General features: G+C 47.3%; 1 protein-coding gene across 4 annotated transcripts in view, besides 1 other annotated feature; it reads right to left on the bottom strand.

The window, feature by feature from the left end:
- Positions 1-10473: 10473 nt before the first annotated feature.
- The window catches only part of PLEKHD1 (pleckstrin homology and coiled-coil domain containing D1), a 63808-nt gene continuing 46479 nt past the window's right edge, over positions 10474-27802 (bottom strand). For 3 of the 4 annotated variants that reach the window (XM_017021290.1, NM_001161498.2, XM_011536762.2), the window contains 7 exons: positions 19648-19742; positions 17703-17796; positions 15903-16081; positions 15196-15328; positions 14693-14837; positions 14093-14242; positions 10474-13775 (listed from right to left, as the gene is read on the bottom strand). In XM_017021290.1, coding sequence (XP_016876779.1) covers positions 13606-13775; positions 14093-14242; positions 14693-14837; positions 15196-15328; positions 15903-16081; positions 17703-17796; positions 19648-19742 — 966 coding nt within the window. In that variant the 3' untranslated portion in view covers positions 10474-13605. Of the gene's footprint in view, positions 13776-14092; positions 14243-14692; positions 14838-15195; positions 15329-15902; positions 16082-17702; positions 17797-19647; positions 19743-22262; positions 22336-27802 lie in introns of those variants that run through there. The other variant, XM_011536763.2, reaches the window with a different exon arrangement.
- Positions 12241-12410: an enhancer, noted in NCBI's record as "experimental_36437 CRE fragment used in MPRA reporter constructs". NCBI's record gives its function as "activates a minimal promoter by MPRAs in K562 erythroleukemia cells, with activity observed for the introgressed 14:69996417 variant allele {active_cell/tissue: K562}" and the evidence as "EXISTENCE:reporter gene assay evidence [ECO:0000049][PMID:34662402]".

The raw sequence follows: 27802 nt of genomic DNA, 5'->3' as shown, positions 1-27802 counted from the left end.
ACCACGTTTCAGCCAATTACATGAAAACAAAGGTGCTCTGAGCCACTTCCAGGCACAATGGAAAGGGGGAATCCTTATGGGTGACTGGAGAATATGCCCCCAGGCCAAACTTGGAAGCCACCAGTTGATGATGGAAAAGTAGCTATTATATAGGTCCTCAAATGACATATAAAGGACTCTGGGCCAGATGCGGTGGCTCATGCCTGTAATCTCAGCACTTTGGGAGGCCCAGACAGAGGATTGCTTGAGCTTAGGAGTTCGAGACCAGCATGGGCAACACAGCAAGACCTTGTCTCTACTAAAAATAAAAAAAATGGCGGGGCGAGGTGGCTCACACCTGTAATCCCAGCACTTTCGGAGGCCGAGGTGAGTGGATCATCTAAGGTCAGGAGTTCAAGACCAGCCTGACCAACATGGCGAAACCCCATCTCTATTAAAAATACAAAAAATTAGCTGGGCATGGTGGCACATGCTGTAAACTCAGCTACATTGGAGGCCGAGGCAGGAGAATCGCTTGAACCCAGGAGGCGGAGGTTGCAGTGAGCCAAGATCACGCTACTGCACTCCAACCTAGGAGACACAGCAAGACTCCGTCTCAAAAAAAAAAAAAAATTAGCCAGGTGTGGTGGTGGGCACCTGTGATCCCAGCGACATGGGAGGGTGAGATTGGACGATCCTTTGAGCCCAGGAGATCAAGGCTATAGTGAGCTATCATCATGTCACTGCACTGCAGGCTGGGTGACAGAGGGAAGCCCTGTCTCCAAAAAAATAAGTAATAAAGGGCTCTGCACAGTCAACTTGCACAAACAACCAGAGTTTTTGTCTCTATTGTCTCTATTGCTGCATCTAGGACCAGAGCAGTGCTTGGCACATGGTATATATCACCCAACTTACGACACCAGCAAGTACCAGGCACATCGTCATTTTATGTGCCAATAAAAAAGTAGAATGCTGCCAATTGAACTATGACACTCTCCTTTCACTTAGAATTTTTATTTTGTACTTATTGAGAAAAGCTTTTATAGATTCAGTTCACCGTAGATTTCTATTATAAATCACTTTTGTGCATAATAAAACAGTAAAGAGAAGTGAAAGAAGTTGGCTAAGATATTTCTAGAATTTCTTCTCATTCCAAATCTGACTCCTCTGTTTTTGACTCAGACTTGAAAATGACCATCTTTTTTCACACACTGTCATTCTCTGTGGCATCAAGAGTGTTGGTGATGAAACGTTTCTCAAAAGAATCCATAAAAGAACTCAGGGTGGGTCATATGTGCTGGGTTCTTAAAACCAGCTTCATGGCCGGGCATGGTGGCTCATGCCTGTAATCTCAGCACTTTAGGAGGCTGAGGCAGGCAAATCACCTGAGGTCAGGAGTTCGAGACCAGCCTGGCCAAGGTGAACCCCGTCTCTACTAAAAATAAAAATAAAAAAATTAACCGGGCTTGGTAGTGGGTGCCTGTAATCCCAGCAACTCAGGAGGCTGAGGCATGAGAGTCGCTCAAAACAGAGAGGGGGAGGTTGTAGTGAACCAAGTTTGTGCCACTACACTCCAGCCTGGGCAACAGAGTGAGGCTTTGTCTCAAACCAACAACAACAATAACAAAAAAAACAGCTTCATAATTTTGTGGATTTAGCTTGCTGTTGACTCCTATAATCATGAATGCTGCCAAACATGTCGAATTCACCACTTCCCCCACACCACCATTTGATTCTTATGGGCTAAGAGCATGCTTCATGATTGTTTGTGGATTTTTTCCTCCAAGCTATTGACACACATTCTGCAAGTTCTGACGTTAGAATTTTTTTTTTCTTTTTTTTTTTTTTTTGAGGCCAAGCCTTGGTCTGTTGCCCAGGCTGGAGTGCGGTGGCGCAATCTTGGCTTACTGCAACTTCTGCCTCCTGGGCTCAAGTGATTCTTGTGCCTCAGCCTCTCAAGTAGCTGGGATTACAGGAGCACACCACCACACCCAACTAATTTTTGTATTTTTGGTAGAGACAGAGTTTCATCATGTTGGCCAGGCTGGTCTCAAACTTCTGACCCAAAGTGATCCACTGGCCTCAGCCTCCCATAGTGCTGGGATTCTAGGCATGAGCCACTGCTCCCAGCCAATGCTGGAACTTTTGATGTTTGCACAGGGAATGATAACCTCATCAAGACTGCAGCATGGCCAACAGCAATTGCAAGATGCCAAGAATTTAAGATACAGCCCAACTTCAGAGATTTTTAAGTTGTGAGGACAGCGGGGAAGCATCACAGAATTTTTAAAAATATGTTGTAGGTTCTCAATAAATATTTGTTGAATGAGTGAGTAGATAAATTCCAGTTCCCTTTCGGTGACTGGAAAATGCTTTGACTTCCTTGGGAAAAGGCCTTCAGACTTTGAGGATCATACAGTTCTGATAAAGCTAAAGTGACTGTGTTGGTTAGACTGTTCTTTTGTTTGTTGTTGTTTTTAAGATGAGGGTCTTGCTATATTGTACAGGCTGGGCTTGAAGTCCTAGGCTCAAGTGATCCTCCCTCCTTGGCCCCCCAAAGTGCTGGGATTACAGGCATGAACCACCGGGCCCAGCCTGGTTAAATTGTTCTTATTTGCAAATGAACAGAAAACCCAATCGAAATGGCCTAAACTGGCTGGGTGCGGTGGTACATGCCTATAATCCCAGCACTTTGGGAGGCCAAGGTGGGAGAATCACTTGGGTCCAGGAGTTCAAGACCAGCCTGGGTGACTCATGGCTAAAAGTTACAAAACATTGGCCCGGTGTAGTGGCATACACCTATAGTCCTAGCTACTCAGGAGTCTGAAGTGGGAGGATCGCCTGAGCCTGGGAGGTCGAAGCTGCAGTGAGCCCTGATTGTGCCACTGCATTCAATAATTAAGAATAATTTCTTAATTATTTCAAAAGTAGGGGGCCAACTCCTTGTTAGGTCTGATTAGATCATAGTTGTTCCTACCTATTGTAATAGAGTTAACACAGCTCTTGTAGGGGCGGGGAAAATGTCAGCACTTCTTTTCCTTGTTGTATGCTTATACTTGTGCTAATAGTATGACTTGCAGCTTTATTGCAGGAAATGTTCAGAGCCATGTATGCAGTCTATGAGGGTTAACTTGTTAAAACTAGATAGTGTAATCTGTATACTCATTTCACAAGATGTGAGTGAGACCTTGTCTCAAAAAACAAAAGCAAAACAAAATGGCCTAAACTATAAGGAAACATAAGTTAGTTCATATCACAAGGAGCCCTGAAATTGGGCAGATACAGTGTTGGCTAATTCAGTGACTCTGCAATTCAGTAAGGACTATGGCTTCTTGCCATTTTTCTGCTTGGCCATCCCAGACATGCTGGCTTGGTCCTCAAGCCAGTTGCCCTCATGGTCCCAAGTTGGCTGTCTTAGTTCTAGTGTCATATTCAGACATAAAATATCCAGTAGAGAGAAAAGGATCGTATCTGCCCCATGACTCTTTTTTAAGGAGAGAAAATCTGTCCCAGAAGTCTTCCAGTGGGCTTCTCATTTCAGTGGCCAGCTTGGGTCGCATGCCCACTCCTAATGAAATCTCTGGTAGAGAAGTGAAATTGCCATGATTGGATTAAACTAATCAGGATTTACCCTCGAGCTTGAAATAGAGTTCACCTTTCCCTTAGGGGTGAACCGGGATTTTGTTCTTAAGGAAGAAGTGAATGAATTTCAAGTGTTAGGGTAATGCTATCCAAGTGTTTTATTGTACAGTAAAACTGTTTTCAGCATCACTCCCCTTATACATGTATTATATTGTCAGAGAAAATATCTCAAGGCTCAATAGTTGCTTTTTTTTTTTTTTTTTTTTTGTAGAAATGGAGTCTCACTATGTTGTGCAGGCTGTTCTTGAACTCCTGGTCTCAAGTGAGCCTCGCCCTCCCAAAGTGCTGGGATTACAGGCATGAGTCATGACACATAGCCTCAGTATTCACTTTTTATGAAGTACATCATTAATGATGAGTGAATGTAAATCCATACTTAAGCACTTTTGTGGCAAACACTACTGGTTGGCTAATTTAGCAGATACTCCTAACTCCCTTCTCTCTTGCTACCACTGCCACAAAGACTAGAAAGCCAAATAGTCACTCTCAGCCTCTTTTGCAACTGGAGGTGGCCATGTGATCCAGCTCTGGCCAACAAAATATCTGCAAAAGTTTTTGAGGTGCTTTGGGGAGTTTTCATGAAAAATAGGTCAAAGGTGCAGACATTGCCTTTTATTTCCTTCCCACCTTCTTCCTGCCATCAGTGCCGATGTGATGGCTGAACATCTTGCAACTGTGAGAGAAAGGCCAAGAGAATGGCAGAGAAGCTGGCCCTCATTTCTTTATGTGATTTAGCAATATCATCAGCTGCCTGCTTTCAGTTCTCTAGATACATGAGAAAAATAAGCCTCTGTTTGTATAAACATGCCTGTAATCTCAGCACTTTGGGAAGCTAAGGCAGGTAGATCACCTGCGGTCAGGAGTTTGTATAAGCTGCCATGGTTGGGCTTTCTGTTACTTGCAGCTGAATACCTTCCCAAGTTTTCTTAATTATTTCAAATGTAGGGGGACAACTCCTTGTTAGGTCTGATTAGATCATAGTTGTTCCTACCTATTGTAATAGAGTTAACACAGCTCTTATAGGGGCGGGGAAAATGCCAGCATTTCTTTTCCTTGTTGTATGCTTGTACTTGTGCTAATAGTATGACTTGCAGCTTCTTTGCAGGAAATGTTTAGAGCCATGAATGCAGTCTATGAGAGTTAACTTGTTAAAACTAGATATGTAATCTGTATACTCATTTCACAAGATGTAAACTACAATGCACCACAATACCCTGAATATGACATGGGAGAGTGCCATTGTCACTTCCTCCTCCAAATTGTGGCACTCAGAAACCCTCATGTGATCATGACATAACATCCCTGGCATCCAGGGTAAGTGAGGGTGCCAGTGTCAATATATGTATTGAAACTAAGGAAGACTTCATTTTCTTTTAATTATTTTAGAGAAGAAAACCCTTCAAGAAAAAGTTCTGCATGTTTATTCCCCATGGCCCAAAGGGGCCATCATGTGTGTCCCCAGGGTGCCCATGCCCCTCTTTGGAGACCATTGAAGTTGACCCACAGTATCTGCTCCAGTGACCTGGATGGCAGGTGCCCTGCTCTAGACAGCCACGTGCAGGAAGCTGCCTTCAAGTGGATGAAGGCAGGCGGTCACAGGGGAGAAATGGGGATGGCATTTAGTAATGTGTCAAGGTAGAAGTGCTATTGACTCCAAAAACAAAAATGATTTTTCAAAAATATGCTGATACTCATTTCCTGCAAATGTAACATTCTTCCCAAAAAACCTCCATAAGGTAGAGATTTTATATAATCTACACCAGGATTGGAGGAGAGTTTTGGGAGCATCTAATTGCACACCCTCATTTTACAAAGGGGAGGTTGGATGTCTCGGATTAATTGTTGGCTCTTCAGGATCACCCAGGCCTTCAGATCCCCAGCCCAGAGGCTTCCCATTGGCTGCCTCCTCTAAGAGGTTACTTCTCTTCTAGAGGATACTTGATGTGGGAAGTGTGGATGAAGGGCAAAGAAAAGAGAAAATCAAGAGAGTGCCAGCTTGGAAGTAATTGAAGGCAGCAAGAAACTAGGCCTGTTGGCCAGGCACAGTAGTTCATGCCTATAATCCCAGCACTTTGGGAGGCTGAGGCAGGAGGATCACTTGGGGCCAGGAGTTTGAGACCAGCCTGGACAACATACCAAGACCCCACTTCTACAAAAAATAAAATTAGTTGGGCATAGTGGGACATGCCTGTAGTATCAGCTACATGGGAAACTGAGATGGGAAGATCACTTGACCCCAGGAGTTTGAGGCTGCAGTGAGTTATGATCTCACCACTGTACTCCAGCCTGGGCCACAGAGCAAGACTCTGTCTCTAAAAATAAATGAAAAAAAGAAATGACCTGTTACTTTGCAAAGTCCTTAGGTTGAGAAACTCTGAACTTGTTACATTGGACTAACCAGACTTCCAGAAAAGAAGAGTTCTTAGGAGACCAGCAGTTACCAAACAGCTGAGTTAATCCCTTAAGAACTCATGATAGAAAATCTCTGAGTGAAGATTCTTGGGACCTAAAATATAGAGGAGCTCAATATATTTACTGAATGAATGACTGAATGAATGAATAAGGCAATGGAAAAAAGTCACTTAAAATTTTTACATTTTTTTAGGGGATGCTAGAAAAAGCACTGCCCTTGAACTCAGATACAAGCTGACCTTCCAGTTACAAGCTGTGTGACCTTGGGCAAGTCCCCCAAACTATGTGGGTTCCATTTTTTTCTGTAAATCAAGGAAAGATATGTGAATACAGAAGAGAAGTCAATGTGAAAGTGCATGGTATATAATGGACTCAGTAAGTGATGGACAAAGCAGAGTCCTTTGTTTCATACCTTAAAGGGGAGAACAAGGGTGAGACTCAACACCAATAGTGCAAAACTGCAGCAGATTGTCACCAAAACCCCTCCACCCCCGCCGTCTCCCAGAGGCTCAGCTCACTTTCCCATTGGAATTTGCAAGCCAGCTCGGAGCATGCTGCCATCTGCTGGGAAGAAGATAGACGTGAACACCAAAGCATCCCTAACACCAGGCCACAGTGGGGAGGGAGAAACCTGGAAAAGGAAAGGGTAGGGATCCAGTTTCCTTTGGCTGTGACTCTCTTGTCCTTTAAGACATCCAGGGCCCTCCCCATTGGCCAACAATTTGTCAGAAGAATGAGATTTCAATCAGGTTTTCTCCTGAAAACTGATAGGACATTATCCAACTTTAAAAAGGAAGGAGATTCTGACATACGCTACAACATGGATGAATCTTGAGGACGTTATCGTAAGTGAAACAAGCCAGGCACAGAAAAAGACCAATGCTGTATAATTCCACTTATATAAGGTATATACAGTAGTCAAAAATCATAGAGACAGAAAGTAGAATGGTGATTGCCAGGGGCTGGGGGTTAGGAGAATGGGGAGTGTCTAATAGATACAGAGTTTGAGTTTTACAAGATGAAAAAGTTCTGGAGAGTGGTTGCACAAAATGTGAACATATTTAACACTACTGGCATATATTATATTACACTTATAAATATATACATGTGTGGCCGGGCACGGTGGCTCACGCCTGTAATCCCAGCACTTGGGGAGGCCGAAGTGGGCGGATCACGAGGTCAGGAGATCGAGACCATCCTGACTAACATGGTGAAACCCCGTCTCTTCTAAAGAAATACAAAAATTAGCCAGGCGTTGTGGCAGGTGCCTGTAGTCCCAGTTACTCAGGAGGCTGAGACAGGAGACGCGTGAACCCGGGAGGCGGAGCTTGCAGTGAGCCGAGTTCGTGCCACTGTACTCCAGCCTGGGCGACAGAGCAAGGCTCCGTCTCAAAAAAAAAAAAAAAAAGAAGAAATATATACATGTGTGTGTATGTGTATATATATATATATATATATGTATGTATTTTGAGATGGAGTCTCATTCTGTTGCCCAGGCTGGAATACAGTGGCACAATCTCGGCTCATTGCAACCCCCGCCTCCTGGGTTCAAGTGATTCCTGTGCCTCAGCCTCCCAAGTAACTGGGATTACAGGTGGGCGCCACCACGCTCGGCTAACTTTTGTATTTTTAGTAGAGATGGAGTTTCACCATGTTGCCCAGGCTGGTCTCAAACTCCTGGCCTCAAGTGATCCACCCACCTCAGCCTCCCAAAGTGATGGGATTACAGGTGTGAGCCACTGTGCTCAGCCTCTGTACACTTAGAAATATTAATAGTTAAAATGGTAAATGTTAAGTTGTGTGTATTTCACCACAATTTAAGAGCCAGTAAGTGAAAGAGATAAGCACGTGGTAGACACTTGACTTCATGCAATAGAATCACAATAAATACGTGTTGAACGAAGATGGAAAGAAGTGGCATGGTGGCTCACACTGGTAATCCTACAACTTAGGAGGCTGAGGCAGGAGGATTGCTCAAGCCCAGGAGGCTACAGTGAGTTATGATTATACTAGTGCACTCCAGCCTGGGTGACAGAGCAAACCCTGTTTCTCAGAGATGGAAAGAAGTGATGCTGACTGATGGTCTCAGATACAGGGTGAACATGACAATAGGCATCTTTTCTTTACCAGAAAAGCCTTCCAAGCAACTATGATTAGTCACAGTTACCTTTTCCTTGAGGTGATAAATTAGTTATCTTTCCTATTCTCATCTCAAAGCAAACATATATTTTCATAGACAGTTCTAAGGATGGCATGGCATTGAGTGCTACCTGAGCCAGAACCTGACATCCTGTATGTTCTTGATCACTTGTAGCAGTGGCAGCCAATTTTCTGTTGATTTCAGGGATGCAAAGTCCCAATCATAGAACTTCAGAACCACAAAGGCTCTGAGCAGCCTGTAAGATTGAAGGGATTTCTCTCCTGCTTACTAAAAATGCATAAATACAGTAAACATTTTAAATAGTGACTTTTCAAAAGCCACAGGAGCCAGCAAGTGGCAAAGCAGAGCCTTCCCCCGCACCCACAGCAGCAGACAGTGCACAACAACTTCTTCCCCTAGGTCTCGTCTTGCCACTGGAGTCACTGCTCTGCAAGGGGGAAGGCTCTCTTTGTGGACACTCCAAGGCCCACCAACCACAGCTTTTGCCAGGATTACAAGGGGAGGCTGAGTCTGTTCACAATGGGACTCTCAGCCCAGAGGCAGGTGTCAGATCCTCCAGGGGAAGGGTGGTGGAGTGCAAAGAGAGCATGAGCCCCCAAATGCAGCTGGCTCTGAAACTGCCTGGATGTCTCCTGGAGCCCCTGCTGTTGAGCCCTTGTGAGCAACTCTGACTCACCCCAACTTCCCTGCCCAACTGTCAAGTCTCAGCCAGAGGCATACTCAGAGTTGACAGTGACAGGTAAAGTTCACCACAAGGGATTTGGTTATTAAGGTCCCCACCCCCCAGGACTCCTGGACTTAGAGTATTTCCTATATTTCCCATGAACACCTTTAACCCAGTAAGATGGAGTGAAGTTCATTTCTGGGTCAGAAGAGCTGTAAGCCATGGGTGGAAGCCCACGTCCAGGGAAGGGAATGGGAGATGGGATGTGCCGAGCCAGGAGAACTGAACCTGGGGATGTTGACACCACAACATTCCACACCCACTCGGAAGTTTGAATAACCAGTTTCTCCCAGTTGCTTTGTGTGTCTGGGAGTGGCTCTCTTTCAGGAGGTAAAAACAACCATTGTAATCTCTCCTAAAGCCTTGCAAAAGACATCCCTCAACTCCTGTTTGCCAGGGGTGGGGTGAGATAAGAGAAGTCAGCAGCTTTTTCTCCAAGAGTCAAAGCTGCAGAGTTTCTGACTTTGGAGAGACCTTGCAAGGCCTGGGGGTCTGAGAAGTGTCAACATGGCTGATTGCAGAAGCACACAGTTCCACAGGGACTGCTGGACTTTATCTGAGGGCTTCAGGACTATTTTGCCCAGTGGATTTATTTATCTTCCTATTGGATAAAATCTGACACACCTGGACTGGCTCCCTGAGACTTGAGCAAGTTTTGTTCCACTATCATCATTCATTGTGGACTCCAAACAGGCTGCTGAGACTATGCTGAGCTGGGTGGGCTTGGAGTGGGTTGGGGGCAAGAATTACATCCTTCCAGATGAATAGAGGGAGAGCATTCTTGCAAGGACTGGGAGCTGGGGAATGGGTCAGAACCCAAGTGTTTCACGATCTCTTGCTTCATCCATTAACATCATTGGTGGAAAAGCACACAAACCAAACAGGAGGAGAATCCAGTCATCACCATTTCTCACTCATTTCTGGCTCTCCTTTATATGATTACTAAACAAAAGCATACACTTCCCCACATCAGAGCAGGTAAAACTGTCAGTTTCCAGCAGGGATACTGAAACTAGCAGGCCATAAAGCTAGGTATCCTGGCTGGGCATCATGGTACGTGTCTGTAGTCCCAGCTACTCAGGAGGCTGAGGTGGGAGGATCACTTGAGCCCAGGAGTCTGAGGTTATAGTGAGCCATGATCACACCACTGCACCCCAGCCTGGGCAACAGAGTGAGACTCTGTCTCTTAAAAACAAAAACAAACAGGAAAACCAAACAAACAGGAAAACCTCACTAAACAAAAAACCTAGGTATCCTTTGTCTCCCTGAGGCTATTCTCACTGGCACAGTCAGTCCTGTTCCTTTAGTCTGTGCTAAAATCAGAAGAAAATCTAGCTGATAGTCCTTGTTACACAGGGACAGCCAGGACCTCAGGGCTGGAACACAGATTTTTCAATTAATTATTAGGAGGTGCAGCAGTGGGGAGCACTTCCTCAAATGTAGAGAAGCATGTGCAGGAGTACGTATTAGAGACAGGACAAGCAGATTCCATAATTCTACATTTGGCCTGCAGGTAGCAACATCTCTCTAGCAATGACCACACCACATACTTAAATAGATACTGCAGGAAATGCATTTAATTGGCCAAGGAATAAGAGTTTTGTTTTTAAAAATTAAAAAAATTACATCAACATATCTCCACTAAGTAATTTCCACTCCTACGTATTTTGATATAGAGATGTTGCTATTTTTCTATTTACAGTGCTAGGTACATAGTGAGCTTTTAACGAATAAACACTTATGGATTGTTCAGTTGGCTGAAGATAATTCAGACTTGCCTGAGGCATGGAAAATACAGGGTGAGAATAGGAGGAAGTATCGATTGGTAAATGTGCATGGAAAAGCACTGCTACAGTTTGAATGTTTGTTCCCTCCCAAACTCACACTGAAATTTAATTACTATCCCAGTAGTTTGCAGGATTAAAAAAAGAAATTTGATTGCCATTGTAACAATATTAAGAGGTGGGACCTTTTTTTTTTTTCTGAGACAGAGTTTCACTCATGTTGCCCAGGCTGGAGTACAATAGCACAATCTCGGCTCACTGCAACCTCCACCTCCCAGGTTCAAGTGATTCTCCTGTCTCAGCCTCCTGAGTAGCTGGGACTATAGGCACCCACCACCACGCCCAGCTAATTTTTGTATTTTTAGTACAGGTGGGGTTTCGCCATATTGGCCAGGCTGGTCTCAAACTCCTGACCTCAGGTGATCCGCAAGAGGTGGAACATTTAAGAGGTGATTTGGCCATGAAGACTCTCCCTTATGAAAGGATTAATGTCATTATCGAGGGGGTGGGTTTGTTATAAAAGAATAAGTTTGGCCCCTCTTGCTCTCTCACCCTCTCTTTGCCTGTCAACCATGGGATGATGCAACAAGAAGGTCCTTGCCAGATGCCAGCACCTTGATATTGGACGTCTTAGCCACCATATCTGTGAGCCAGTACATTTCTGTTCCTTATAAATTACCCAGTCTCAGGTATTCTGTTACAGCAGTACAAAGCAAACGAAGACTAGCACTTTCCTGTCTGGTTAATAGCTCGCCCAAGAAAAACAAATGCATCTGAAAATTATGAAAGATCTCTCTAAAAGCAAGCCATGATTAATTCTTTTAAAAAAAAGGAAACAGTAATCTTGGTTTTATAAATATTCCCCTTCAATTCAAAGTTCATCCTTCATACGTGTTAGAGAAACAAGTTCCAGGTTTATGCATGTTATACACGTTTAAAGTTTTACATTTAGGCTCAGCCCTGTCAAATGCATTTATTCCAAACTGACTCAGCCCTCTCCCCAGCTAGATTCTGCAGAGACTGTATGAAGCCACCAAAGTCCACCCATCACTGAAAGGAACCACTGAGATTAGTTTTGGCAGGAAGCACTGAGCAAAGAGCAGGGCAGCCCGGCCTGGGCTCGGCCAGCCTAGCAGCAGATGTGCATGTGTTCTTAGAGGCAACAATGCTCCTCTTCCCACAGAATAGGTTGTGGGCTCCCAGGTTCTTGCACTTTTTGCTGGGACTTGCCCCGAAGCCATCTGTTTATCTCTCAGAACTTCTTGGTTTTCCAAGCAGCAAAGAATGAGCACCTTTAATGTCAACAGTGTCCAAGAGCACCCTGATCCCAGGTGGACCCCTTTTCTGGAGGCCAATAGCCTCAGGTAGCTTTGGAGGGTGGGCCTGCAGGGAGAGGGTCTGGGCAGTCTGTCTGTCCATGAGTGAGAGACAGACACACCCTTCAGCCCCCTGGAGGGTGGTGGTCTTCCACAGAAGCTGCAGATTGGCGTTTCAGCTTCACTCCCAATGACACTGAGCCAACCAATGACTACTGGCCTCATCACAGGCCCAGGGTCCCCAGCTGCCAGAGTTCATGGTCACATTGCTTCACAGGCTGAAATCTCTGCAGGGAGAGGAGGCAGCAAGGTGACTGAAGCAGGGGCAGCTGGGAAGGAGATATCTGTGATCTCTCGACCAGCAGGAACACTGCCTCCCTGCGCAACCAGAAGTACATAATGCAGGAACCAGAGTGACTTTCCTTCACTCCTGAGCTTGTTTTCCTTGTGTTTGTTTGAGACAGGGTCTTGCTCTGTTACCCTGGCTGGAGTGCAGTGGCACAATCTCAGCTCACTGCAGCCTCAACCTCCCAGGCTCAATCAATCCCCTCATTTCAGTCTCCCAAGTAGCTGGGACTACAGGCATGCACCACCATGCCCAGCTATTTATTTTATTTTTTTTATTTTTTGTAGAGACAGGGTTTTGCCGTATTGGCCAGGCTGGTCTCAAACTCCTGACTTCAAGTAATCCTCCCGCCTCGGCCTCTCAAAGTGCTGGGATTACAGGCATGAGCCACTGTGCCCAGCCCACTCCTGAGCTTGTTACGTGTCCTCTGGGGGAGCCCCCAGCATCACTGCTGGCCCCAGCTCCCAGCCAGGGCCCTAGGTACACAGGCAGGAGGGACTGGTGCCATCATTCTACCCTTGCAGGGTGCCAAGGCTGTGAGTGAGCTCACCAGAGGAGGAGGGGAATCAGTGGGTGGCCCCACAGCCAGGGCCTGAGCTCAGGAAAAGCGGCACTGTGGCGGGTGTGTGGTATGTCAGGAGCCCAGAAGCTGCTGTCCTAGGCCCCTTTCCTCCTGCACAGCATGATGTGGTGTAAATGAGGGGTCTCAGCTGAGGGACATTTTGCTGAGTGTCAGAAGCAAAGGGAGGGTTAGGAAACCCTGGGGAAAAGGGAATGTCAAGGTAGGGAGGCAAGGCCTTTCTACATGAGGACCACGGGCAGGGCAGCAGAGTCCCAGAGAGGTCCAGTGGGCACCAGGGAGGGCTGCCATCTTCCTCAGTGGGGCAGACCCTGCCTGATGGCACAGTGGTAGACAGCACCTCCCCACCCCACTCCCTAACCGACACAAATCTCCACATACAACCAGGTCCTGTCCTCACCTCACCATGACAACCAGCACCCAGCTCAGGCCTGCATGGCCCTGGTGTGGACCCAAAGGTGGGGTGTGGGGTGAGGATGAGGAAGGCAGCGTCCATGTCCTTTGAGGGCAAGGCTGGCCCCCAAGTGGAGCTCCGGCCCAGAGGAGACATAGGCTCCAGACCAGAGAGGCCAGGAGCTGGTAGAGTGAGGCCTCCCTCTGCCACCCCTTCCCCTCCCCCGCCCATCCAGGGGAGACTTGGGAAGCAGGGGAGGAGCGCCCATCACTTTCCACCCCGGGAGAGTGCCGAGGGGGCTCCAGGCTGGGTGGCCATGATGTGGTAGATGGATTCCCGGAAGCGCTGGTCCCTGCTGAGCCGCTTGGCCACCTCCTTTAGCTCCTCCATGTTGTTGGCATCCAGCTGGGAGGTCATGAAGGACTGGGACGGCTTCACTGGGGAAACAGGAGCCCAACAGCCCTGTGAACAGTGCTCCCTCCACGAAGGCCTGGCCCTGTCCCCAGCCTCATGCCACCCCCTCACTCCTTTATGTGTGCCAAGCTTCTTCCAGCCCCTTCCCACACACACGGGCTTCCATATCCTTTGAGAAACCCAGGGCCCTGAGAATTCACCCGTTTGCCCAAGGATGGTGGGGCCAGGTTCAAGGCCACACTCTCCAGCCTCAGAGCTGGGCCAACCCTTCTGGCTCCCCATGTTGCCCTCTTCCTGCCTTGTCACCATCCCACCAGGGCACGCAGACAGCCACACTCACTGTCATTCCAGGAGGTGCTGGACCGGCGTCGGTGGAAGCGGCAGCTCTTGATGCGGCGAGTGGCTGCCTTATGGATGTACACGGAGTTCTTCATGATCACAGGCATCTTGGCCTCCAGCTCGGCATTCCGGATGCACTCCTCAAAGAACCCTGTGGCGGCAGGGCCAGGAAGGGTGGGGTTCCGACTGCATCCTTACCCCCAGCCAGTCCCTCCCTTCCCAAGGATCCTGGTGAGATTGAGTGGGAAATATTTTGACCCCGTCCCTCGAGATTCCAGAGCCACCTGCTGAAGGGGACTTTCTTTGCCTTTCAAACCACAATCTGCAGCCATCTCAGGGCACGTCTGCTGAGAACAGAGCTCTGAGCTTTTGATAAATGGAAGAAGCTCCTGGCTTTCCTCTCACCACAGATCCAACAGCCACAAGAAAGCAGTGGTGCTGAGATGCCTGCAGGCAGGTAACTGGAGAAGAAACCCTTCAATATCCAGGGAGCACCTCATGCCTAGCAGACCCTGTGTGGGTTTCCTGGCTCTACAGGGCCGGGATCCCATCTGGGGCTGAGTGCCAAAGCTGGGGGCCAGGGCCTAGAGGCAGGGCTTACTTTTCAGATGGCTCACATCAGCCCGCATCCTCTCCTCCTTCTCCTTATTCCGCACCTTGGAATTCAGCCCCTGTTCCAGGCTTCGCAAGGCCCCTTCTGCCTCCCGGAGACGCCTCTCCAGGTCCATGCGGACCTTCACCTCAGCCTGAGGTTGAGGAGAGGGAAATGAGAAGGAAGTCAGGTCCTGGAAGTAGCTGCCATCTTCCCTGGAAGCCTTCCTTGGTCACCCCTGGCTCAATGGGCGTGGATGGGAGTTATCACATCCCGCTTCTGAGTCTTACCCTTTGAACCAGATGGACTGGACTTGGCACCTGCACCCAGCAGGTGTCTGTCAATGATGCAGCAGACTTGCTGCTTCCCCTCGTGGTGGCTCCATCCCCCATGCCTGGCTGTCTGGTCAGACTGACAGAGATAATTCATGCAGCTACCCGGTAAAGTGCAGGGGTGGAAGGGGAGTCTCCAGGGAAGGGGAAGGGCCCTGGCACCAGCAGGCCAGGTCGCACCTTGAGCTCCCGCTCAGCCTGCTGCTTCTCTGCCGTCAGCTCCTGCAGCGAGTTCTGCAGTGCCTGGGACTGGCTGGAGTAGAACTCACGCTCCTCCTCCAGGGCCCGTGAGCGCTCCTCGTTCTCCTTCATCCTGTAGGGACAGAAGAGGCACTTTCTCAATGCTCACTCGCCAAATGGGATTGCCAATGGATGGACAGCTCCTCTTAGAGACCTGGGCTGGAGAAACCTTGAATCCCAGGCTTTATGAGCCCCTGAACTTTGTGGGTCCAGGCACCCAGGGGATGAGATTGATGGTGTGGTCAGTGCTGGGAGCCCTAGGTTTAGAGTCAGAAGACTGGAGTCCTGGGTCCAGAGGTTGCTTGTTCTGTGACCTCAGAAAAGTCATACAACCCCCCTGAGGCTCCATTTCCTCATTTGTAAAAGGGGGCTTAAAAACTTGCCCAGCCTGTCACAAAGCATGGTGACAAGGACTTAATAAGTCTGCATGGTTCACACCATTGCACAAGATAATTATCAAGCCAGCTTTGGGTAGTGAAAGTTCTCTTCCCACTTTCCTGGTGGGAAAACAGAGTCCTAGGCAAAAGGAAGTGAGTGAGTCCTACTTGGTCAGTGCCAAGTAGAACCCAAGAGTCTGGATGTCCAGTTCGAGGAAAGTCCCCAGACCCCAAAGTCAATGGTGTCTTCAGGGGTCGGGGCTCCCTCACCGCTTCTCTGCCAGGAGCTTCTCCTCTAAGAGCTGCTGCATCTTCTCCTCGATCTGCCGGAGGTTGCTATGGAGGCCCCCACTGGGAGGGGGCTGCTCACTCTGATTGGCCAGTGTCTGCAGGTGGTTCTCGTTCTCCTCCAGCATTTCCAGGGTTTTCTTCTTCTCTATGGAGAGTTCCTGGCATGGAGGGAGGCAAGGAAAAGAAAAGCCCAATTTAGGTTCTCCATCGTGGCTGCCCTCACCTGCTTTTCCGTTTGGGGGAGTGACCCACTCCTCTCTCAGTCCTCTATGGCCGCTGAAATGTCTTCATTCTTCTCCAGAGCTAAAAGGCCCAGATCTCTCCCACAACAGGGCAAGGTTACTCCTCCATCAAGAGTCATAAAGGAACCCAAAGTGCCTTCCAGTGGAGACGGCACCTACTAGAACGGGGTCGCATGATCTTCTGGGGTCCTGGTTCCTCCAGGGGTGAATGAGGAGACATAGTGGGCTTACGTGAAAAACACCCAACAGGAACCAGCCCAAGAGCATATTTAGATGCTCTCACAAACAGAGCGAGGCTGCAGTGAGCTATGATTGCACCACTGCATCCCAGCCTTGGCAACACAGCTAGAACCTGTCCCCAAACCACCCCCCACCCCACCTCCAAAAAAAAGATGTCCTCTCCATTTATCAGACTGGGATCTTGTACTCAATGGCATTACACAGAAGCAGAGTTGAAAATATCCATGGGAACCACCTCCCATGATGTGAAACAGGGAAAGATAAATGAATAAAGGCCCCACAAGCTCCAAGGCTCCAGTCAGTCAAGGGAGACAAGAAACCTTTGCAGCCTTGAAGGTAATTCATGCGTACAGCACAGGTATGGGCCATACACCATATGTGCCAGGCCCACTTCAGGGGATGGGCTTGGAGAGACCATGAAGACACAGTCTACTGAAATTCATAGTTTGGAAAACACACCTAGCATGTTAAGTCCCATAAAATATGTACAAAATGCCACGGGAGCCAAGAGCTCAGAGTAGATACCTGCCTTGAAAATCAGAGAAGCTTGACTGAGGAGATATTTGAGCTGAGACTTAGAAGGGTGAATAGAAGTTCTCCAAGCAGAGAAAAGGTGGAAATGATACACTGTGTAGAAGGAACAGTGTGGGAAAAGGTATGGAGCATGAAAGAGCTTGCTTCCTTGGAGTACCTGAGCTCCGCGGTTTGGAGCAGGGGTTGGGAGTCTGTGCAGGGCATGGAGGAGCAGTGAAGGGAAGAGTGAGGCGAGAGGGAAGGGGAGACCAGGGCCAGAGTTTTCACTTGCTTGCCATGCTAAGGAGTTTGTACTTTGTCCTTGAGGCTTGTCACCTCCCCACCCCATCCCAGTTTCTGTGGTATCAGATGATGGTGACCTGGCAGTTGATTTCCCTTTACGTTCAATGTCACTCAGGAGCAGCTAAGCGAACAAGACACAAGAAGGAAGCGGTGGGTAGCTCCACTGCCCACCTTAACCAATCCTCTATCTGGTATAAAAATGTAAGCACCAGAGGTGGATTTCCTGAGGCCATGGTAATAGCAAGGACAAGCCTGAATTTGTCCTTTTAGGTCTGAGAACAGACACTTCTTGCTTTGGGCCTCATGCCTCGGCCAGAGTTTTCAATGATCCATAGAGAAGAGACCCTTTAGATCAGCACCCCTCCATGCCCATTTCTCTTACAGATCACCCCCTGGGGAAACACTGCTGGAAAAAACAGTGTCATGTGGTCCAACCAACCAGCCTGCCACCTGGTCAACTAACCCACCAGCAGCCCCTCACCTCCAGTGTCTGCTGCAAGGACTCCGTGAGGTGCCTCAGTTCCTTTTTCTCTTGTTCTACACCCTTAAGGCATCTTGCAGTCAGTTCCAGCTCCCTGTGGAGACAGAGGGCTGGGTATGGCAGTGCCCACTCTCCCCACCCCCCACCAATCACCTCTGCACTTAGAAATGCTTTTGCTTCACTTCCTGATGGGGCTCAGGAGGGCTCTTGAATGGCCAGCCCCTCTGCACAGCTGGGCCCTGACAGCAGCAGTAGGGGCCTGGAGTTGAAAGTAAGTCCTGGCCACATGGGGTTGGAGTCACTTGCTCCAGGTACACATGCATCTGTCACCTGGAATAAACCTAGGGCCACCCCACAGGCAGAGGGAAACACTGGAGAAACAAAGGGGCCCCAGCCTCACCCTGTCTTCTCTGGACAGCACTTGCTAGAACCCATGGTCATTCTGACATAGAACATGGCTAAGGCCCCTCTTTGGGTTAGTAACAAGCTCCTTGCTGCCTTCTTCACAAGCTTCAGTCACCTTAGGCTTTTACACTAGTGTCCCCTCATCCTACTTGGAAAGTCTTTCCCTTCTCCTGCCCAATTTTCAAAATCCTACTCACCTTTCAAGGCCCATCTCACTCAGCCCTGTATTCAAGCCCACAAGCATCATGCATGTGTCTCAATTCTCGTAACACAGGAAATCTGCACCATGCCTTCTAGCACCTGATTACATATTATTACACTAATGTTTCCTGGGTATGAGTCTGGTTTCCCCAACCAGATCATACGTCCACTCTTCAAGGGAGTGGACTTGTCTTCTATTCCTTCTAATACCTGGCAACATTCTGGAAGCTGAGTAGGTGCTTGGCTATTTACTTAGTAAGATCCTCTGGGTTTTTCCCTCCTCAAAATACATAGTTAATTGACACCCTTGGATAAGGTTGTTATAAGAAAACAGTTTCTGGGCTATCACTGATCATGTGTGGTGATGATAATGATGAGGATGAGGATGACGATGATGACTACCCCACCCACAGCAGCAGTCTCCACATTCCTGGAGGCTGCCTCAGAATCACCTGGGGTGTTTTTAAAAAATATATAGATTTCTAGCCCTGGTGCGGTGGCTCACACCTGTAATCCCAACACTTTGGGAGGCCAAGGTGGGAGGATCGTTGAGGACAGGTGTTGGCGACCAGTCTGGCCAACATGGCAAAACCCTGGCTCTGCTAAAATTACAAAAATTAGCCAAGCATGGTGGCACATGTCTGTAATCCCAGCTCCTCAGGAGGCTGAGGCACAAGAATCACTTGAACCCAGGAGGCGGGGCTGCAGTGAGCCGAGATCGTGCCACTGCACTCCAGCCTGGGTGACAGAGTGAGACTCTGTCTCAAAAACAAACAAACAAACAAACATTTTTATATATACATATATACATGTATATAGATATATACATGTATATATATAGAGAGAGATTTCTAGGCTCTACCTTTAAAAGATTATAATTCAGTAGATGATTATAATGTACAACTAGGTTTACAAACAATACATGGTACTAAAGTTCTCAAATGACACATTCCCAAAAAGGACTATGCAGGAAAGACAGCAAATGTTGAGGGTCTTGGCCAACAGCAAGCACCTCTAGGCCAGCGTGTCCTGTCTGGCCCTGGGTGAGAGAGGCTTTCATGAAGGCAGGGGGCTTTGTGGCTTGGAGGGATGCTCCATTGCCTTATGCTCTAGTGGGTAGAAATGACCCCATTTATCTGGGTCAGGGGAGTCTACAGATTCTTCTGGGAACACTCAAACCTGGAGCCTTGGAGGACAGACTCAAACTGGGATAGACCCAAGCCTGGAGCCTTGGGAAGATAGCATCTCTGAGGTGGAGGCCTCCTCAGATCTGACGGGGAAGGTGGGCTCTGCATGCCCTAACTTAGTGGCACCCCCAATTCCCAGGCACCACCACCACCTCTTGATCTGCTCCTGCTCCATTCTCAGCTCCTGCACCACCTCCTCGAACTGCTGCTTCTCGGCCTCCAGCACCTGGTTAAGGCGCTCAAGCTCCTGAAGAGACCAGAGAGGAAGAGAAGAGTCACAGGCAGCAAAGGAACCCTGAGATCAGGATCCCCCACTCTATCCCAAGGGACCCTCTGGGATTTAGCACAGCCTGGGTCATGTGCTGCACCAGACCGGGAATTAAGTTCTAAGGCCCGCTGGCCCCACTCATTGATATGTAGTCCTGACAAACCCAAAATCTATGATGAATCGAGCCCACTGAAAACACATTTTGCATGCTGAAGACTGGGTTTAGGAACACTCCCAACATTACTCCCTGTGGCTGGAGGAAACTATAATTCTAAATATCTACTCTGCAGGGCAGCTCCAGTCACTGCCACCATCAGGCGGGTTGGCTGTCCCTCACACCTGGAGGAAAGAGTGGTGAGTGTGTATTTCCATTCGAGATCCCTGGAGTGATGTCTGTTAGAAGTGGCAAGGAAAAGCTATTCCCAACCCAAAAGTCAGAGAATAAGGACTCTATTTTTCTTGAGGTATCTGGGAAGCAATGACTCCAGGTGGCTTCAGCTTCCCTCTGCTCCGGCCCCAAAGTGGAGGAGAACTAGAAAGTGCAGGACAGGCCCCAGGGGACCAGACTTGCCCCTTCAGGAATCCCAGGAAGCCCAAGTGTTTTCCCAGCAACTGTGTGTCCTCCAGGAGTCCTCTTTTCCTGGGGTTCAGTGGCAGGTGGCATTGGGGGGCACATTTCACGTAATTTGGCTTGAAACATTTTTGTGACAACTGCTTTGTTCCTCCACATTTTACACTGTGGGAGGATATTATTTCCACATTCACTTCCTTTCTCATCTTCCAGCTCCAAATTCCACTCTCATTTTCACCTGGGGGCTTTGTTCCCAAGTTTAATGGAAACCCCACTGGGGAGGGAGGCTGTCTATATGGAGAAGTTGCCATGGGCTTTGAGGAGATGCAAAGAAGGAATAAAACATGAGGCAGAGGAAGGAGCCTGCGTTCAAACCCTATGACCTCCATTTCTAAACTACTTACCCAAAGAGTTGCTATATCTTTCCCTTCTAATCATTACTGGCACTTTGGGCATGGATCACTGGTTACAAACTGACCTCAGTTTTTGCCAATTGTTGTCACCACCAAGACTGCTCACTGCTCACTGGTATTATTATTAATATTATTATGTTTATAGATGGAGTCTCTGTCACTCAGGCAGAGTGGCACTCGTGCAGTGGCACGATCATAGCTCATTGCCGCCTTGAACTCCCAAGCTCAAGCCATCCTCCTGCCTCAGCCTCCTGAGTAGCTGGGACCACAGGCTCAAGCCACCAAGCCCAGCTCTCACTGGCATTCTGATGCTCCTCCTGGGCACACCACATGGCCACAGTGCACCTGGTAAAGGTGAGTGGGTCCGTGGGACTAGCTAAAGCCAATGGAATGAGAGCAGAAGTGTGTTACTTCTAGGCAGTTGCCTTTAAGAGGCAATGCATGATGTGCTACGTTCCCTTCCCCCTGCCATGGCAACCAGTGTCTATATACAAGATACCATATATAGACATAATATAAATATAATTAAAATTGTATTCTTTTTTTCTTTTGAGACTGAGTCTTACTGTTGCCCAGGCTGGAGTGCAGTAACACAATCTCGGCTCACTGCAACCTCTGCCTCCCAGATTCAATCAATTCTCCTGCTCCAGCCTCCCGAGTAGCTGGGATTACAGGCACTCACCACCACACCCGGCTAATTTTTGTATTTTTAGTAGAGATGGGGTTTCACCAGGTTGGCCAGGCTGGTCTCGAACTCCTGACCTCAGGTGATCTGCCCACCTTGGCCTCCCAATAAAATTTTCTTCTTATAGACCCCAATCCCTCTTTGATGAAATAAGAGTTTGGAGCTTCAGAAAAGTTTGAAACTCCCTATATTATTCATTCTCAGTAGCTAACACATGATATTGGATATTGCTTATGATGATAAACCCCTTTATAGCCTCAGATTCGACAAACCTCACATATTCCCTCTCCTCAGTGGGCTCTGCCTCCTGGGGCAGAGCCGTTTAGAGGCCTGGGGAAATTACAAGCTGTAAGCATCCCTGGGCTTACACTGGAAAATAACAAAGGTGCCCAGCTCTTTTTTTTTTTTTTTTTTTTTTTTTTTTTTGAGACAGAGTCTCGCTCTGTCACCCAGGCTGGAGTGCAGTGGCACGATCTCAGTTCACTGCAAACTCCGCCTCCCTGGTTCAAGCAATTATCCTGTCTCAGTCTCCCGAGTAGCTGGGATTACGGGCGCGCACCATCACACCTGGCTAATTTTTGCATTTTTAGTAGAGTTCAGCGGGGGTTCTACCATGTTGGCTAGGCTGGTCTCGAACTCCTGACCTCGGGTGATCCACCCACCTTGGCCTCCCAAAGTGCTGGGATTATAGGCGTGAGCCACCGTGCGCGGCCAGGCGCCCAGCTTTTACAGGTCTGGGGCCTCTGCCGCTTCACAAATGATCACCCTGGACCCACCTGGAGGCTCCACCCCATCCCTGGAAAGTCCCTTTCTCTAACACTCCAACTTACAAACATTTCCCGTTACTTGATATTACGCTGGGATATCCTTTTGTAGTTGAAAACGGGGGAGGGTCAATGATTAAAACCCATTCCTTCCCTCCCTGGCATTTAAGTGCCTCGTGACGCCAGCAGATCCCAGCTATGCCTCTGAGAAGAAGAAAGTGAATGTGATCCACCTGAAAATAATACGGCAAGACAATCATTTGGCTTGGAATGACTGGAATTCCCTTCCTTCCCCAGTAGTCCCCTATATATGTGATAAGGTGCTTTTCTACCTGAGTCTGTACTACATGTGCCCGCACAGCATTTATTGCTCTGTGAAAGGGCCAGAGAAACAGGCACCCATGAGTCAGAACCCTCCAGGGTCAAAGCAACTTTAAAGGCAATTAAAGTCTCCATCAGATGCTTCAGTCTCCTGCTTGGTTTTCCTGCCAAGAGATGGTCCAAGCTTTGCTTGACTGGCTCTCGTGACAGCCCATTTCACCCCTGAACAACCCTGATAAAAGCCTTTTCCTTACAGGCTCAACCCTCTGCTATGCTCAGCCCTGCCACTCCCTGACAGCTATAAATACAAAAGCATTTATGAATAATGAAGATTTTTGTTGAAAGTTTTGTGGGGCTTCAATGAGAGCGTTCTATTTCATTTATGGAGCAAAATTCCCCTCCAAAATCTCATAAACCATCTCTGTCTCTTGCCCAAATTTTTTCTCCCTTCAGCTGCTGCCTGGCTTCCTGGGCCTTTCTCTCTGTCTCAGCTGTACTCTCTCCTGAAGCCCCTCTCCTCAGCTAGGAAGCCTGCATGTCCCTGTCACCAAAATAAGAGCTAGGGAACAGCTCTTAGCAAAACAAAACACAGGCAAAGCCAAGGACAGCAGCCAAAGCCCAGCCACTCTGGGCTGCTCAAGCACACCTAGGGGAGGAGGCACCCCATTTCCACCACCAGCTCCACTTGAGCCAAAAGCTGCCTACCTCATAATCCTTCAATGGGTCCGGCTTATCCCCCTTGAGGCCATAAAACAACACTAACCTCTTTTCTCTTCAAGTATTTAAAAGAGCAATTCTGTCCTCAAGTCTCCTCTCCTCCAAGCCAAAGAATTCCTGTTCACCACACTTCACAGGGCATGATTTCTCATCCTCAGTAAAACTAATTGTATTCTTGAAAAGAATGCAATTCTAGACTAGACTCCTGGTTAGGAAGACTTAATACAGTAAAGATTCTTTCAAATTAATTTACGAGCTCAATGCAATTCCAGTAAAAACCTCAGTGAGATTTTTTCTTATAATTCTATTCATTCATGCTACACATATTTATTGTCTAATATGTTTCAAGCATCTGCCAAGCTATGCACTGAGGATATGAAGATAAGCAAAAACAGCTGTATCCTTGCTCTCAGGGAGCTCACAGTCCAGTGCAACTATTAATAAAATCAGGGCCGGGAGAGGTGGCTCATGCCTGTAATCCTAGCACCATGGGAGGCCGAGGTGGGAGGATTGCTTGAGCTCAGGAGTTCAAGAGCAGCCTGGCCAACACGGCAAACCCCATCTCTACTAAAAATAAAAATACAAAAAATTAGCCAGGTATGGTGGTACAAGCCTGTAGTAGTTCCAGCTACTTGAGGGGCTGAGGCAGGAGGATCCCTTGAGTCTGGGGGACAGAGGTTGCAGTGAGCCGAGATCATGCCACTGCACTCCAGCCTGGGTGACAAAGTGATGCCCTGTCTCAAACAAACAAACAAACAAATAAATAAATAAATAAATAAATAAATAAATAAATAAAATCAGATCAGGATTGTAGATCAAATGCAAACATCAAATATTACCAAAATAATCAGACACATTAGAGTAGCATTACAAACCAAGATACATGATATGCAGGACAGGGACATGGTTCTATGTAGAGCTACCCTGATGGGAGTGAGGCAGGTATGCGGTGTGAGGTTAGGGGAGATCAGGTGATTCTTTAGGTGACAGATGAAGATGAATCAATAGAAGGAAAAAGAAGGAGCATTCCAGGCAGAAGGAAAGGTAGGTACAAAGGCCCTGTGGAAACCTGCTGCCCTGAAAGAACCGAGATTGGCCCACATGGTTGGGCCCAGAGTGACAGTGAACATGACTCTGGGAAGCTGGACAGGCTGACAGTGGCTATCGTTTATTAAGCACTTCCTATGTTGCAAGCAGTTTGTATGCAATCCTCCCAACAGCCCTACCATGGAGTACTGCCTCAGTTCAGAGAGTGCTGCGCCTGCCCTCTCTCTGTCTGCGCTAGATCCAAGGCAATCTAGACCACTCCTACTCCCCCACCCCTCCCTGCTTCATTTGCCATTTATGTGCAAATGACTCCTATGTTGATACCTGTCGTCCCTACTCTTGGTTGAGCTCCATCCTCTTATATCCAACTGTTGGCTTCACATCTCCAGCCAGATATCCAAAGATATCATAAACACATGTCCAAGAACAAATTCATGATCTTCCCCACCAGAGCTTGTGATCTTCCAGTGCACCCTGTCTCAGGGAATGCACCACCATCCACTGCTTATGCAGGTGAGAAACTTGGGATTCATGCTTCACCTCATCCTTCCCCACTCTACTCTTTCCCACTCCACCCTCAAGTCCAGTTCGTATTGCCCCCCACCCCCAGCCCCCACTCTAGAACCTGCCAGGCAACTTCTCTTCATCTCACTGCCCTGCTCTGGTTCACACTGCTATTAGGTCTTGCCTGGACTAATGCAGTGGCCTCCCACCTGGGCTCTTTGCACTCTTTCTGGCCCGCCTTCATCCTTTTCTCCATATTGCAGCCAACTTCACTATTTAAAATAGAAATCACTGTAATCCCAGCCCTTTGGGAGGCCAAGACAGGCGGATCGCCTGAGCTCAGGAGTTCGAGGCCAGCCTGGGTAATATGGTGAAACCCCATCTCTACAAAAAATACAAAAAAATAGCTGGACATGGTAGTGTGCACCTGTGGTCTCAGCTACTTGGAAGGCTGAGGTGAGAGGATCACTTGAGCCCAGGAGGTCGAGGCTGCAGTGAGCTGAGATCGTGTCATTGCACTCCAGCCTGGGTGATAGAGGGAGACACCCTCCCCCGCAAAAATGGAAATCAAAACATGATACCCACCCTTTTTCCTTACTCCCTGCTCAAAACCTTCATTGCTTCTTCTTGGTCAGGAAGAAGGATCAAAAATAGAAGATTATTTAAATAAAACATCACATACAATGAATCAGTACATTGCCATTAAAATTGATGTTTTCAAAGAATGTTAAAGGACATGAAAAATGTATAATGTTAATGAAGGTATGATGAAAAGTATAATGAAAAGGCAGTCCATAAAACTGAATATCCAATATGCTGATAATTATATTTAAAATATACCATATATAAGAATAGTATATAGAGAAAAAAAGGCTAAAATGAAAAGCACCAAAAAGTTTGGTGACAGTTGTCTGTCAATTATGGGATTATGGATAAATTTTATTTTCTTATTCATGTTTTACAAGTTTTCTACAAAGAGCATGATTTCTACAAATAGGGGAAAAGTTACATATTAAGGAGGAAAAAGAAAGAGAACGGAAGAACTTCAGTTTCCAGTTCAGCATGTAAGGAATTTAGAAGTTGTCACTTTATTCTAATAAGTAAAAAGCTGAACAAGGCAGGACACAGTGGCTCACTCCTGTAATCCACAAAGTGGATCACTTGAGCCCAGGAGTTTGAGACCATCCTGGGCAACATAGTGAGACCCTGTCTCTAAATAAAATAAATTTAAAAACCAAACAAACTGAAAAATCAGCAAGTCTTCTTACATCATCAGAGAAGTGAGGTCATAAAGCAAAGTTCTATTCCCAAAATTGAAAAGACAGGCAGATTAATATAGCTTGGATATTTGTTCCTGCCCGAATCTCATGTTGAAATGTAATCCCTAATCTTGGAGGTGGGGCTTGGTGGAAGGTAGTTAGATTACGGGGGCAGATCCTTCATAAATAGCTTGGGTCATCCCCTTGGTGATAAGTGAGCTCTCCCTCTGAGTACACATGAGATCTGGTTGTTTAAAGTGTGTGGCACTTCCCCGCGCCCATGCTCTCTCTCTTGCTCCTGCTCTGGTCATGTGACATGTCTGCTCCACCTTCACCATCTGCCATGATTGTAAGCTTCCTGAGGCCTCCCTAGAAGCTGTGCAGATGCCAGCACCATGCTTCCTGTAAAGCCTGCAGAACCATGAGCCAATCAAACCTTTCTTTATAAATTACTTAGTCTCAGGTATTTCTTTATAGCAATGCAAGAATGGCCTAAGACACAGATACAGAGAGTCACATTAATGAGGCAGAAACTACCAGCAGAAACCTCCATGGGAACCAGTACTGGGGTAGGAAAACCTGAACTGCAATTGACAAATTGCTGGAGGTTCAGTTTGAAGAGTTAAAACTCCAGGGGGGGCCAATCTTAGGGAGGCCTCCTCACTTCTGTGAGTTATAACTCCAGGAGCTCTACCAGGTTCTCAGTGAATATAAGGGGAAAGCAGCCATTTGGAAATGCAACACAGCATTCTGTTTTTTTGTTTGTTGGTTGGTTGGTTTGTTGAGACAGAGTCTCGCTCTGTCACCCAGGCTGGAGTGCAGTGGCGTGATCTTGGCTCACTGCAACCTCTGCCTCCCGGGTTCAAGTGATTCTCCTGCCTCAGCCTTCCATGTAGCTGGGACTACAGGCATGCACCACCACACCAAGCTAATTTTTGTATTTTTAGTAGAGACGGGATTTCGCCATGTCACACAGGCTGGTCTTGAACTCCTGACCTCAGGTGATCCAACTGCCTTGGCCTTTCAAAGTGCTGGGATTACACTGTGCCTGAGGCCATTCTGTTCTTCTTTACAAAGCCTGCCATAAACGATTATACCAGAGCCTAACCTGTTTTATCAGAGTGTAACCTACTTGGGGGAAGGGAAATACCAAATTCCAGCCCACTGTACCCATGCTATTCTACCTAAGGTGGGGGAAAGCCCTGAGAAGCATTTATGAAGTTCACAGTCCAGGGGCGCAACTCACCAAAAGGCTAAGACCACCACATCACTAAAGGCCTATTCACCACAACTCCTTTTACCCAATACATCGTGGCCAGGGAAAAAATAAAGGGCATTCAACAAAAAATCACAAGGCATACTAGAAGGTAAAAAACACAATTTGAAGAGATAGAGCAAGCATCAGAACCAGATTAGATATGGCAGGAATGCTGGAATTATCAGACCAGGAATTTAAACGCAAACTAAGATTAATGTATTAAGAGCTTTAATGGCAAAAGTAGACAACATGCAAGAACAGATGGATAATATAAGTAGAGAGATGAAAATTCTAAGAATAAAAAAGAAATTGCAAGAGATCACAAACACTGTAAGAGTGAAGAATGCTTATGATGGGATCATTGCGAGACTGGACATGGCCGAGGAAAAAAAATCTCTCAGCTTGAGGCTATGACAATAGAAATTTCCAAAACTGAAAAGCAAAGAGAAAAAAGGCTGAAAAAAAAAAAACCCAGAGCAGAATATCGAAGAACTGTGCGA

This window comes from Homo sapiens, chromosome 14, assembly GCF_000001405.40.
Source record: "Homo sapiens chromosome 14, GRCh38.p14 Primary Assembly".
In the NCBI taxonomy this organism is placed as follows: Eukaryota; Metazoa; Chordata; class Mammalia; order Primates; family Hominidae; genus Homo; species Homo sapiens.
This window is presented reverse-complemented; position numbering and strand designations above follow the sequence as displayed.